The 15,427-nt window shown below is 39.3% G+C and overlaps 1 protein-coding gene across 13 annotated transcripts in view; it reads left to right on the top strand.

The window, feature by feature from the left end:
- IFI16 (interferon gamma inducible protein 16) overlaps window positions 1-15,427 on the top strand; it is a 55,176-nt gene that overhangs the window by 29,596 nt on the left and 10,153 nt on the right. For all 13 annotated transcript variants that reach the window (XR_007059344.1, NM_001364867.2, NM_001376588.1 and 10 more), the window contains one exon: window positions 2,953-3,120. Coding sequence is in view for 12 of the 13 variants with exons in the window: in NM_001364867.2 (NP_001351796.1) it covers window positions 2,953-3,120 (168 nt within the window). In the remaining variant the exon portion in view is untranslated. The remainder of the gene's footprint in view (window positions 1-2,952; window positions 3,121-15,427) is intronic.

Below are 15,427 nucleotides of genomic sequence, written 5' to 3' on the forward strand. Positions count from 1 at the left end.
CAAATATGTTTTTCAAACCTTTAGATTTGTCTTCTTCCTCGGGAACACCAGTTATTCTTAGGTTTGGTTGTTTAACATAATCCCAAACTTCTTGGAGGCTTTGTTCAGTTTTTTTTTTTTTTTTTTGAGACACACTTTAGCTCTTGTTGCCCAGGCTGGAGTGCAATGGGGCGATCTCGGAACACTGCAACCTCCACCTCCCAGGTTCAAGCAATTCTCCTGGCTTAGCCTCCCAAGTAGCTGGGATTACAGGTGCCTGCCACCACGCCCAGCTAATTTTTTGTATTTTTAGTAGAGCCAGGGTTTCACTATGTTGGCCAGGCTGGTCTCATACTCCTGACCTCAGGCGATCCACCTGCCTCAGCCTCCCAAAGTGCTGGGATTACAGGCATGAGCCACCATGCCCGGCAGCTTTGTTCATTTTTAATTCATTTTTCTTCATCTTTGTCAGATTGAGTTAATTCACAAGCCTTGTCTTCAAGCTCTGAAGTTCTTTCTTCTACTTGTTTGATTCTATTGCTAAGACTTTCCAGTGTGTTTTGCATTTCTCCAAGTGTGTTCTTCATTTCCAGAAGTTGTGATTTTTTTTTATGCTCTCTATTTTTTTGGAGATTTTTCCATCCATATCCTGTAACATTTTTTAAATTTCTTTAAGTTGGTATTCATCCTTCTCTGGTGCCTCCTTGGGTAGTTTAATAATCCACCTTCTGAATTCTTTTCTGGCAATTCAGAGATTTCTTCTTGGGTTGGATCCACTGCTGGTAAGGTAGTGTGATCTTTTGGGGCTGTTAAAGAACCTTGTTTTGACATATTACCAGGATTGTTTTTCTTCTTCCTTCTCATTTGGGTACACTATATCAGAGGAAACATCTGGGACTCAAGGGCTGCTGTTAGGATTTTTTTTGTCCCACAGGGTGCTCCCTTGATGTGGTGCTCTCCCCCTTCTCCAAAGGATGGGGCTTCCTGAGAGCTGAACTACAGTGATTGTCAACACCCAGCAGAGCTACTGTGCTCCAGGCTCCAGGCTGGTACTGGGTAGTGTCTGCAAAGAGTCCTGTGATGTGGTTCGTCTTCAGGTCTCATCCATGGATATCAGTACCTGCTCCTGTGGAGGTGGCAGGGCAGTGAAGTGAACTCCATGAGGGTCCTTGGTTTTAATTTTGTTTATTGGGATAATTTTGTGTTGGTTGTCCTCCAGCCAGGAGGTGGAGCTTTTAAGAGAGCATCAGCTGCAATAGTATAGGGAGGATACAAGCTTGCCCTAGGGTCACTTGAAATAGGATTTGAGTTTCTCAGGTGGTGGGTGGGGGGGCCACAGAGCTCCCAAGAGATTATGTCCTTTGTCTTCTGGCTACCAGGGCAGGTAGAGAAAGACCATCAGGTGGGGGCAGGGTTAGGTGTGTCTGAGCTCAGATTCCCCTTGGACAGGGAAAGCTGATGCTGCTGTGGGGGATGGGGTGTGATTCTCAGGCCAATGGAGGTATATTCCCAAGGGAATTATGGCTGCCTCTGCTGTGTCATGCAAGTTGCCAGGCAAGTTGGGGAAAGCTGGTAGTTACAGGCCTCATCCAGTTCCCACACAGCCTGAAAGGCCAGTCTCACTCCCACCATCACCCACCAACAACGCTGAGTTTATTTCCAGGCAGCAAGTGAGCAGAGCTGAGAACTTGCTACCAGCCTCCCTGCTGAGAAAGCAAGCAGGGTTTTCAGAGTTCAAGCCTCCCTGCCTGCTGTGGCTTCTGTGCTGGTGTCTGCACTCCCAGATCACCCCCACCCCTGGGTTCTGTCCAGGAAATTTTGTGTTCGGTCGAAACTTCAGCTGGAAGTTTTCTTCTCCCTGTGGTATTTCCCCAATTCTACTGGCAGCCCTCCTGAAGGACCTTTGTGAGACAAAGTCAGTAATGGCTTCCCTGGGGACTGAGAGAGCCCATAGGGCTCTTCCCGCTGCTTCCTCTACCCCTGTATTTCGCTCAGCTCTCTAAATTCACCTTAGCTCCAGGTAAGGTCAAATCCTTCACTTGTGATCCAGACCTTCAGGTTCCCCAGTGAGGATGTATGTTCATGGGTGGATGATCCCCTTTCACACTTTCACACTTTGGGCACTCACAGTTTTTCTGCTGTCTCCTGGAGCCTGCAGCAGCAGTCCGCTTTTTTTCAAACGTGCCATTTTGAATATTCCACTCACATTTAAATGGAAAAGCCTATTAAGATATATTAGGAGAATGATGTTCCTCATAGGCTTCAAAAGGATATAAAACTCGTGGTAAATAATAAAATATTTGAAGAAATTAGGAGGGTGGGGAACCAATATAATGCAGTGGCCAAAAGCAAGGACTTTGGAATAGGAAAGACTTGTTCTACATCTGGCACATTAGTTTCCTGATATTGGGAAAAATAGCTTTTAAATATTTCTCATAAGATTGGTTTAAAAATTAAATGAGATAATGGAAAAATATTTCTTATTCCATTGCCTTGTACATTATGGGAAATCAATGTGCAATAGGTCCTATTGCTCTTAGCAAGATAAAGACAAACACTGGAAAGATTTCTAGGGAGAGAAAATGTCACATGCAAATGTTAAAATGTGAAACAGCATAGTGAGTTCTGTATAAATTGGTATATGTAGAAAGGTATAGGAAAATGATGCAAGACAGGTAAAAAGCAGCCCTCCAACAAGCTGGCTTTTGTCATAAAGACAGAAATGGAGTCTCCAATGTAAAAACATCAGTAAGTAGATATTGAAAGATTTTAGGAAGAAGAGTACTTGATCATTCCACATTTTAGCAAAAAAAATATTCTGACAATTGCCTGGAGGGATACATTAGAGAGAGACCATGTTTGGAAGTAATGAGACCTATTAAAATCTAATAAAGGATGATATTCTCACAAATGAAAAGATGTTGTGCTTCCTCTAATATTGAAAACCATTAAACAGAAAATGAATACTTTCAGATAAAGAAAAAAACAAACCCGAGAAACAATGACCCCAAGAGCATGAAGCTACCCCAGGAACAGCGTCAGCTTCCATATCCTTCAGAGGCCAGCACAACCTTCCCTGAGAGCCATCTTCGGACTCCTCAGATGCCACCAACAACTCCATCCAGCAGTTTCTTCACCAAGGTACAATTTCCTGGGTCCCATGCCTCATGTCTCCCCACCATAATTTACAGGGATCATTAGACTGTTGAAAGAGCTACTGCTGTAATCTCTGTGAATGGATTGGTACAATCTTGGTATGAAATTATGTCACTCAATCATTTATTGAATTCATACAGTGAGATAGCACCACATCATAATCTTTACTATCTAAAAGGCATTCATTTATATAATGATTTCTAACTTTAAGAGGATTACTATCTTGTATTGCTCCAGTTGTAGAGAGGGTAAGAGAGAGTGGCCAGACAAGCAGAGACGAAAACAAGAATGCGTTCAGATCCTACATTCCCGTTTCTTTTACCCATTTCCCCTTTGCTTATTAGTAATATTTCTGATTTTATTTTCATAGTTCCAAGTTCCTACCCCCATTACATATTTTGACACATGGTGTTTTCTTGATGGGTATCTGTTTCTCCTATGTCATCACTGGTGAGAATCTCCTTAAATTTTACATGCCAACTTAAATGTTTTCCTCTGGCAAGTTCTCGCTGATACAAGATACTGGAACTGATGAGTCCTCCCATTCTTTGCTTTCACAGGGTCTCCTGTCAATGAGATTAAATTACTAATTTCATAGAAGTGAACAGAGAGACTTACTTTATAATGTGTTCCCCATACTTCCTTGATCTGAGGTTTTCCTTAACAGGGTCAGCATAGCTCAGGTTATATCTGTAGACCAGAGCAAACCTACAAATTCAGCTTAGAACATGGAACAACAATGACAATAATTATATTTCCACTTTTTGAGCACTTAACTAGACGTTGGTTCTTACGTGTTGTTCCTGATGTACGTTATCTCATTCTTTCTTCATAACCATCAGGAGGATGCTAATTCTGCCCCAATTCACAGAGAAGAAAATAGAGGTACAGAAAGGTTAAAAATCTTCCTCAAGCTTTCAAAGAAAATTAGAGTCATGATTCATATCCAGTCTTATTTAAACCTAAAACGTGAAAAATTAATGATTATATATGGCTTTAGATTAGGAGTTTATATATGCCATGTCAGTAATTTATTTATTAGTCACGTAACAGTTACATAGCCCACGCTTTGCAAACCTTCTGATAACAAATGTGGCCAGTGGTGATCAGAGTGTGTTCTAATAAGTAAACCACCCTCCAGAAGTAGAATCCTTTCATTCGCCTCTCTAACAGAGTGCATTTTCTATATTAAATATCTGAATGACAGAAGTGGTAGAACTATGGAAATTAAACTAATATTAATAAATAACAAAAAAGGTTAAAAATAGTCAAAATAAAGGAAGTTATACTTCCTTGCCCTTGGTAAAGAGTATTTTTAAAAAATCACTTACTTGGTAATGCCAAGGTAAGTTCTTCAATATTTCTAAATACATTTGAGAACCTTGAAGGATTCTAGCTGGCTGATGCAGACTACAAAACAGCAGAATTCTGCATCTGGAATTGTGGATTTTAAAGAATCTTTCTAGCAAAGTGATGATCAAAACATCTAAAGCAACATAAGGCTGGGTTTCCTGGAGCCTGAAGAGCTGCAGGAAAGAGAAAGAGTAATTTAATCAAGTAAAATGTATGTGATTAAATTTCTCACTATTAATTAAGTATATTCATTGAGACCCTACTAGTCTCTGTGTCTTTTGATATTTACAAGGTATGCGTTCATGAAGTGCTTCCTGACTCAAGAGGATTACTGTCTTTTGTTGATCCAGGTGTAGAGAGAGATTGTGGGGAAGTAGCCAGATGGAGGAAGATGAATACAAGAATATGTTCATTATCTTTATTCCAATTACCTTTCATCCTTTCACTTCGTTCATGACCACATTCCAGGTTTTATTTTAAAATATCGATGGTCTTTTCCAAATGAGAAGCTTTGACATATAGATTGCTTCCTTTGCTGGGATCACTTTCTCCAGTCTCTTCTTGAACCCAACTCTCCACAGGCCCCAGCCTAAATCCCTTCCTAGAGCAAGTCCTCACTGGCAACCACGTTTCAGATTAGGTGAGATCCTCCCATAGTTGGTTCTCTCTGGTCCTCCCTTTGTGAGCTTTCCTAGCTCCCTTTATTTTTCCTAATAGCATTTAAACAATTGGGGTGTGGGAGTAATTTTCTCCTTTTATATACCATAAGCTCAGATGGTAGGTAGCGTCTACCCCAGAGGAACAGAATACAAGAGGGGAAAAAGTCAGTTCATGCTATGTGCATCAATTCTTATTCCAGATTACCTTTTGCTCAGCAGTGATATGACCCTTGTAGTCACCTGCACTGAGGGTTCGGAAGCCTGTACCTGTGGTGAAGGGGCAGGAAACTTGGAGGAAAAGCAGAAGGATTAAATCATTATTTTTTACAGTTGCTTCTTACCCAAGCCCCAAGCTGTATTCTGACCCAGCAGCAGATACCTCCAGCCACCATGTACACATCCTGGAAGAGAAGCTTCCTATATTTAAGGATTCTCTATTTTGATTTTTTTTTGGTTTGTTTTCATTGTTGTAATTTTTAGCTAGCTTCAGAAAGCTGTATTTCCCTCCATAGTTTATGCAGGTGTTATTTGAAGAACAGAACCTGTGTCTTTTTGCCATCTTGGCACAGGTGGCTGTGGAAGGAGCCCTTGCTCAGTCATTGCAACCTAAGATCCATTTTCTTTGTGCCTTTTCAGTGACTAAAGTGGCATCTCCAAACAACTATGCTTTTATCACTCATATTTCTTTGAAAGGATTATGTGAGAATTTCTAAGTCCCACCTGCTAAAATATGAATCACAACCCTTGCTACAGCTGTACAAATGATTGTGCTGTATGTGAACTTCCCTGGAGCACAGGAATCCCAGGAGGATTATATGCCTTCATGGCCTCATGCACCTAAACACACTACGCAGCCATTTATTCTTGGGTGTCCACTATCGTCTGTAAATACAGTTGTCTGTCTAACTACTTTCCTAGTGACTCGCAGGTGAGTATAGTCTTGTTCCACTGATCATAGGGTTTCCCAAAGATTTTCTCTATGGTATACGCTCTATATTCATTGAGATTTAAAACAAACAGGCTATTCTTATCATTGATTTTTTTTTTTCTGTTCTGTACACCTAAAGCAAGAAACATAAATTGACATGAATCAGGAGCAGGGATGGGAGGGGAGATAATTGCTCTAAGAAAAAAAATTACATAGTGATTTAAAATATTATTCAACCAAAGATTACATTTCTCTCATCTAAATTCTACTCTGGTTATGGGACTGTTTTACTTAAATGAATTTGAGAAGATAATACTCCAAGGTACTCTCGTGAATAAGTGGCAGAAATGAATAGAGAAGTCTCTTTAATAAAAAGCTTCCCATACCAACTCGATCTAGGGTTTCTGTCAACAAGGTAAACAGAATATGAGACGGCAGTTAATCAGAACACACATACAAATCCCTGCAGAGACAGTGTAACAACAGTGACATAAATCGGATTTCTACTTCGTAAGCACTTACTAGGTGCTGGTTTTAAAACCTGTATTCTTTATGTATATTGTTGCATTCTTTCCTCATAACAGTCATGATTGATGCTATTCTCAGCCTCATTTTACATAAGAGACAACCAAGATAAATACAGTTTTAAAATATTTCTCAAAATTCACAAAGACAGTGAGTGTGCTAAATGTAAATTATGTGCACTTTATGTAGTTTTTCTTATTCATTCTTCCTTACATCACCCAGATGATGTTATTGTCAGTCACATTTCACATTTCTAAACACCAAGGATCTTAGAGGTTAAAACTTTACTCAAGCTGATAATGATTTTTAGTGTTAGAGCCAAGATTCAAATCCAGCCTTAATGAACTCTAAAGCTTGAGCATTTAATGATCATATACTGCTTCCAAAGTCAGAATATAGATGTTGAACTGTCTCATATATTTACACATATTTAAAATTAGACATTGTTTTTGTTTGGGTTTGTTTTCATAATCTAGTCTCTGCAAGGCTCCTAATGAAAAATCAGGTGCTGTAAGTCTCTGTATCATCCTATGTTTTACATTGCCACGTTAAGACCCCTGTGTTCATCTGCACCCAATAATCAGATGCTGTATCTTCAGTGTAAGTCAAAAGAAAAACTAGATGACAATTTTCCAAGTTAGTGTCTCATCTAGGTGCCAACTGCACTGTGACCACACAGTTTTCTAATCACTCATCCATGTGTACCAGTTGAAGACAGGCCTCCCATGTACAGAGTTCTCAATTTTTCATGTTGTTTTGTTGTTGTTATTGTCCTGTTTGACTGGTAAATTCCAAAATTCTATACTTTCTAAGAGTTTTATATGTCGTATAGAGCTACCTATCATGACTGTTTGCCATCTTGCTTCAGGTGGATAGACAGAGGCTATGCCTAGTGAAGTCATTATCTGCTCTGATCTTCTCTGCTATTTCAAGGACAAAATTGGACATCCCAGGACAGTCAGTTTTCTGACGCATAATGACTTGAAAGAAAGTTAATGACAGTTTCAAAGTTCCCAATTGCCTAAATATGTGATACAGCAATTTCTGCAGCCATAGGAATCATTATGCTGTGCCTAAAGACCCTAGGACAGGGATTCTAGAAAGAGGCACGTGTCTCCATGGCCGCCGATGCTTAATAACACAGTGCATTACTTCTGCTTTGGTGACCAGCCCAAAGGTTGTCTCACCACTCACTCTAAGATTCACCAGCTGAGCAGGAAAGCCTTGTCCTTACTCATCATGGTTTCTCCCGAAGATTTTGTATATGATATGCGTTCATTGTGCTTTTGGATTCAAAACCTGAAGAAGACAGAAGCATGACTTTAAGTCACGACTCCTCTAAAGCATAGATCATATAATGCCTGAATCATGATCGGGTATGGTAGCAGGGATTATTTACTATGAGAAAAACAATCAGCTACTATATTAAAATATTACTCAACGAAATCTACAATCTGCTGAAATCCAAATTCTGATCATCTAAATTCTGCTGAAATAATGAGAATATTTGTTTCAACTTATTTTGAAAAGAAAATTACTCAAGACAGTTTTATCAATGCTATTAGGCTGCCACATTGTAGAAGGGAATAAAGAGGCTTTTTTGATAATCTTCCTATACCCCCTCAATCAGGAGCTCCCTACAACTGGGTCAACATAAAGCATTAAATATCTTTAAATAGGGCAGACATTAAAAAAAATGCACAGAACATAAAATAACAATAAAAATATTGTTCTGCTTATTGAGGATTTATTGGATGCTGGTCTGTAAAAACTGTGTTTGTTACAAAATTATGCCATATATTCGTCATTGTATCTCCATAAAGATAAAATTTTCATCTCATTTCACATATGAGATTCATGAGATACAAAGAGGTTAAAAATACCATTCAGGCTAATAAAAATAATTAGTGTTAGAGTAAGGATTCATATCTAGTTTTAGTCAAGTAAAAAACTTTGGTAATCATGCAAATATGTTTCTTCCAGTATGGGACAGTATATATTAAAATTCTGTCATATATCCATAAATATTCATATATGTAGTGTTGAATTTTGCATTTGTTTTCATAATCCAGATGCCACAAGCCATAATAAGGTGCATAACGGGCCTATAGGGTTGGGTGTTCGAAACCATAACAAGCAGGTTTTATAGCCCTTTTTTCAATCTATTTAAAGACCAGAGAAATATATTTTATAGACGGGTCTCTATATATTGGAGATGGGTCTCACTCTGTCACCTAGGCTGGAGTGCAGTGGCGCAATCAAAGCTCACTGCAACCTCAGACACCTGAGCTCAAGGGATCCTCCTGCCTCAGCCTCTCAAGTAGATGGGACTAAAGGTGCACGCTACCAGGCCTGGCTAATTTTTTAAAATGTTTTGTAGAGATGAGGTCTCGCTATATTGCCCAGGCTGATCTTGAACTCTTGGCCTCAAGTGATTCTCCTGCCTCAGCCTCCTGAGTTGCTGGGGTTACATGCACAAGCCACTGCATGCAGCTTAAATGTTCTTAAAGTCTTTCATTAGTGACATTAGGGGAAGTCACACATGATTTTCCAGACACCCTCTATCCTTTCTTTAACAAGGTATAAAAAGACAGGTGCTGGGAATGCCCTAGTGCAATTTGGAATGATCCTAATTACTGTTGGGAATCCTGAAGGATTCTGAATATCTGATGCACACACACCACAGGACCAACAGAATCCCGCCCCTGGAACTGTGCTTTCAGGGAATGCTTCCAGCAAAGGGAGGATCAGTATGCCCAAACAGCCAACACGTGAGTTTCCTGGAACCTGAAGTGCAAATTACAGGAGTCAGTTTGTGTATTTGCTTGATGAGAATGGCTTCTATCACTTTGGTTAATGTTGTTCTAAAATTTGCTGCCCTTATAAACTGAGAGGGTTATTTAACAAAAATAACCTCAATGGAGGGGCTTAACCAAGTTGGCCTAGATGGATTTTCAGCAGAAATAGAGCCAGGACTCAATCACACACCAATAAAATTTCAACCAACAGGATGAAGGCTATAATACTGGTTTGTGAGTGTACAGTTGAAGGAGTTAGGATATCTAAATTGACACTCTTCTTCCATAGAAAATACCAGAGAGATGACAGTGAGAACAGAATAAAAGGAAAAATAAGAAAACCAAACCTATATAGATACAGACATGGATACATTAGGTTTTTGTTTGTTTGTTTGAGATAGAGTCTCGCTGTCACCCAGGATGGAGTGCAGTGGCATAATCTCAGCTCACTGCAACCTGTGCCTCCCGGGTTCAGGTGATTATCCTGCCTCAGCCTCCCAAGTAGCTGGGACTACAGGTGTGCACCACCATGCCAGGCCAATTTTTGTATTTTTAGTAGAGACGGGGTTTAACCATGTTGGCCAGACTGGTCTTGAACTCCTCACCTCAGGCAATCCTCCCGCCTCGGCCTCCCAAAGTGTTGGGATTACAGGTGTGAGCCACTGTGCCTGGCCGGGTTCTATCTCATTCCGAAAACCACAAGACAGAAAAGACTCAATCTTTTCCTGAGAACCTGGAGGCCAGAATCACCCCAGTTGATGACTTCAATAGAATAAAGTCTTCTCAAGACTTGAAACTGCATCTGCAAACTTCTGGCTTCAGAAAACCTCCAGGAGTGAGCCATCCTCAGACTTCACAGAAAATTACATAAACCCCATCCAGCCATTTCTTAGCCAAATCACTAGCTTACTATTATCATCCTTTGTGCCTCTTCAAAGGTGTATTTGCATTGTATAATGCAATAGGAACCATTGCTGAAGAGGTACAAATTAGTACAGACATTTTGAAAACCAATTTGGTGCTATCTTAAACCTGAAAACATGCATACTTTACCAATGCTGCAAATCCAACTGGGCATATGAATAAATAAAATGTATACAAATAGTCACAGCAGCATCATGTGAACTGGAAAAATCTTGGAAGAACCCATGACGTATGTCAAGAGAATGGGTAAATTAGGGAACATGATGTTGAATTGAAATTAAATAAGCTGCAGATGCATGCATCACAGATGCATATGAGGCATATAATAATTGGAAAAAGCAAATCACAGTAAATTTTAAATAGTATAATAACATTTTTGTAAGCTCTGAAACTAATAAAACTAAATATCATATTGCTTAAGAATAAATGCCTTGTGTGGTAAAAGCTATTTTTAGAGCTATTCATCATGATTCAAGACTGTCCTTACCTCTGGGAGCTAAAGCTGATAGAGGATGAGTTCAGAGAGAAGCATGTTGTTAATCTTTTCTTTCTTAAATTGTTTGAGTGTTTTCATAGCTACTCATGCTACGAAGTATGTAGTTTTAAACACTGAACAAAAAGTTTTATGTTCTAAATTTAGAAATATACTCCTTTCAATAAGATTCCATTAATACATGTGGCATACTTAAATAGAGAAACATTTTTAATGAAACGATTTTCATCTCACCTTGATCTGGGGTATCCATCAACAGAGTCAACATAAAGCATGGAAAATGTGTGCATCAGGCAGAAATTCAAATCCTGCACAGGCCATTATTAACAATGGCAATAATTATATTTTTGCTTGTTGGGCATTTACTAGGGTCTAGGCTCTAAACTTATTAGCTATGTATATTATGTAACTTATTCTTCATTACAACCCCATAAATATGATATTGTCAGTCTCAATTCACATATGAGAACACTAGCGTTCATAGTTTTGGAATAATGTTTCTACCAGTGTGAGAGAGAAGATTTAAATTGTCTCCAGTATATTTACATGTGTGTGTACACTAACATTTCAGAATAGACAGTGTCAGGCTTGGGTTTGTTTAATAGCCTGAACTCTGCAGCCTTTCAGTGATGGAGGAGGTCCACGAGAGTGGCCAGAGGCTGTTCTCATCAGAGAGCCACAGCACTGCAGCAGGCTCCTGCAGCCCTCTCACCTACCACTTTTTCAGCTAACGGTGCGATAGAATTATATTAGTGAAAGCCAGAAGTGAGAAAAACAGTGACAAATGGACATCACATGTAAATGGTTAGAAATGGGTTTTCACTATTATAATTAATGGTATTCAAAGTATATGATTTTGCAGACACTCTCTGTCCTCACTTGAACAAAGTGTAAGAAGCCAGCTACTGGGAATTCCCCAGGTGGAACGTGGAACCCCTGTGATTACGATTGAGAATCTTGACGATTTCAGTTTGCCTCATATAGACAGCAAGGGCAACATAATCCTGACTCTGGAACTGTAGCTTTGAGAGGATCCTCGCAGCAAAGATCAGTTTGCTGAACAAAAAGATGGAGAGGTTGGTGTACTAGAGCCTGAAGAGCAGATAACTATTACCTGTATGTGTACTCATTTGATGAGACAGGTTTACTTATAAATACTCCTCAGTTTGGCTGATTTTACTCTGAGTCATGCCCCCCTCATCACCAGGAAGAGTTATCTACCAGAAAATGACATTAAGTGGTCTCAGATCAGCATACAACACAGATAGATCCAAGAATCTAAGGCCAGTGAAAGAAACTTCAGTCATCTGAATCTTGACCATTTCAGACTGAAGACTATAATCCTGGTCCTGTGTAGGCTGAAATGTGGGCTGAGGAAACTAAAGTTATGTCAGTATCTAGACACATTAGCAGAGGGAAGAGCCTATAAAAAGGGGGATTTTGAAAAAATCATATATGGAGCCCATACCTACTCGTTAATAGTTCAGACCCATTTTTTTGTCTTCTACTTCAAAGACGTAAGTGAATATTCCTGGAAAATTCTGATTTCTCCTACATACTGGCTTAAAAGGGACATGTGATGTTTTCTTAGCTCCAACCCTTCTAAATAAGCAATGTGTCCATTTCTGTAGCCATAGGAGTTATTCTGCTGCACCTAAACCTCCCTTAGCTTAGTAATCTCAGCCAGGATCATATGTCTTCTACCTCCGGTACAGCCATTTTCCCTCTGGTGTCCAGCCAGCCCCATAGGAGGCAAAACCTGTCTGACTACCCTCTATATGATCCAGTAGCTCTGCAGGAAAGCTTTATTCTTATTGATGATAGGTTCTCTCACAAATTTTGTGTGTGATATGGATTATTCCTGGTTTTGATTGGAAACCCAAAGCATAACAATTTTATATTTGATATCTTCTGCCATGTCTCCCTTAAAATAAACAACAAAATGATTTGAATTATGAATAGGAATAATTGCTATTTTTTCCTGAATAATAAATCCCCCAGTATTACTATACCAATGTGTTCATCCTCTATATTCCAGTTTCTTTGCGATCCTTTCTCCTTTGCTCTCTCACCATACATCAGAGTTCAGTTTCCGTATCCATGCTCTTAACCACATCGGGGGTTTGGATACTTCTTTTGATGTCAATTTTTTCCATCTCAGTTCTGTCCCCAGATATCTTCAACCACAAGGTACCAGTCTAATCTATTCCTTGAGCAAGTTCTCACTAATACCCTCCTCCCAGAATAGATCATATTTTCTCATTGTTTGCCTTCATAGGTACCTTTCTATTTCTTTAGAGCATTTATCATAGCTATAATAAACCTATGACTTTCTTCCCTACTCAGCAATAAATGTAGATTATAGATACCCTTTCCTAGGGGAAGACAACACAGGGGTGGGAAAGTGAGTTTACACTTGTGTGTTGTCAACACTTACCCAGCTTGCCTTTTGTTCTGCCCTGATATCACCCCCTGTGTTACCTACAATCCAGCGTTATGGGGCCTATACCCAAGGCAAATGGGCAGGGAAGGTATGGGCAGGGAAATACTGACCCATGGCAACTTGAGGGATAGGGAACACTAAGATTTACATTATTATTCTCCAATATCATTTCTCACCCAAGCCCCAAGCTGCCCCCGGCCCAGGTTGCAGACCTGAGCACCATCACACATGTCAGTTGAGGACAGGCTTTCTACATGTGGGTTTTCTCAATTTTTTAGACAGTCATTTTTTTGGTTATTAATTTCAAGATTTCATATTTCCCCCTATATAGTCTTTCCTGGTTCTTCTTGGGCAGAACTAGCTGCTTGTAACTGTTGCCATCTTGGGACTTACCATCAAGGCCACAGGTAGAGCCCATGTGTAGTCATGAAAATCTCAGGCCCACTGTCTCTCTGTTACTGCAATGACATACATAGACATCATAAGACAACTACTCTGTCCATGCATACTGGCTTGGAAGTGACACTTTCTAAGACCTTGCCTGCCTAAATATGCAGCACAATCATTTCTACTTGCATAGGAATCATTCTGCTGCTCTGAAAGCACAAGATCCAAGGCAGACTCATCCACCTAAACATACACCACGTAGTCATTTCTTCTCTGGGATCCAGCCATCTTCACAGGAGGCCTGCAAAAATGGTGTCTGACCAATCAGTCTGTGATTCGCAACGTAAGCCGGGAATCCTTGCTCTTATACATCACAGCTTCTCCCAAGTAGTTTTTCTATAATAGAGTTCTTTCTGACTTTTTAATTCAAAGCCGGAAACAGACTATTACCTTTGATTTATGCTGTTACGTATCCTGAAGTGAACAGTACACAAGGGCATAATTCATGAACAGGGTAGGGTAGAGGAGGATTTATTCTGAGGGAAAACAAATGCTTGCACTTTTAAAATATTATTCAAACAAAGATTATAATTTCATCATCCAAACTGGGCTATTGTGATGACAGTTTAAGATTTCACTTATTTTTAAAAGATTATATCTCAAGACAATCTTGTCAATAAAATTACATTGCTACACATGGCAGATCTGAAGAGAGGGGCTTCTCTCCTATTATGCTTCCTATATTACCTCCATACAAGGTTTCCATCAACAAGGGCATCATAAAGCATGAAATATCTGTTCACCGGAGCAGACATGCAAACCCCTAATAGATCGTGGAAAAATAATAGCAACAAAGATTTATTTATTGAGCATTTACTGAGCTCTGGACTCTAAAACCCATTCTTTGTGCACATTACCTAAATTATTCTTTATAACACCATAAAAAAATGCTATGGCTAGTCCCATCTCACATGTGGGAAAACTGAGGTGCAAAGAAATCTTCCTCAGGGTCACACAGATAGTATTAGAGTCAGGATTCAAATGCAGCCTTATTGAACTTAAAATGTTAACATTTAAAATGTGAACCTTTAATGAGCATAGATTGAATCCACAGTAGGTGTGCAAATGTTAAAATGTCTGCAGTTTATTTTTAAACAATTTTGAAAATACAGTGTTTTGTTTGGGGTTTATTTCCATAGTCCAGGTGCTCAGTGGTGGTCAGAGACTGTTCTAATCAAGAAGCTGTTCTCCATGTGAGCTCACTACAAGCAGTTCTTTTGTGTACCTCTCTATCAACAATTGCCACTTAAAAAATTAGGTTACTGAATGGGAAAACTGCTAAAATAATGTGCCACATTGGCCAAATAGGATGAATATTTTTTGGACTTCCATTGGTTTAATTAAAAGTAGTCAAGGTATGTGATTTTAGAGATATTCCCCAATTTTACTTGAAAAATGTATAAAAATATAGCTAATGGGAATGCTTTAGGTGGAATATTAAATTCTTCTGAATACAGCTAAAAACTCTGAAAGATTCTGATTGCCTGATCCATACTGTAGTGATCATAGAACCTTCCCTGAGGAATTGTGAATTTGAGAGAATCTTCTTATTATGGCTATGATCAGAGATCCCTAAAGGATGGAGATCTGGGTTTCTTGTATGCTGAAGAGCACTTGAGAGAGACTGGTTTGTGTATCTAATTGATGAGAAAGGCCTAGTTAATAAATGTCCATAAATGTAGCCAACTTTATTGCAAGCCATGCTGCCCCCAAAATAGCCCT

The sequence above is a fragment of the Homo sapiens genome, chromosome 1, assembly GCF_000001405.40.
Source record: "Homo sapiens chromosome 1, GRCh38.p14 Primary Assembly".
Lineage (NCBI taxonomy): Eukaryota > Metazoa > Chordata > Mammalia > Primates > Hominidae > Homo > Homo sapiens.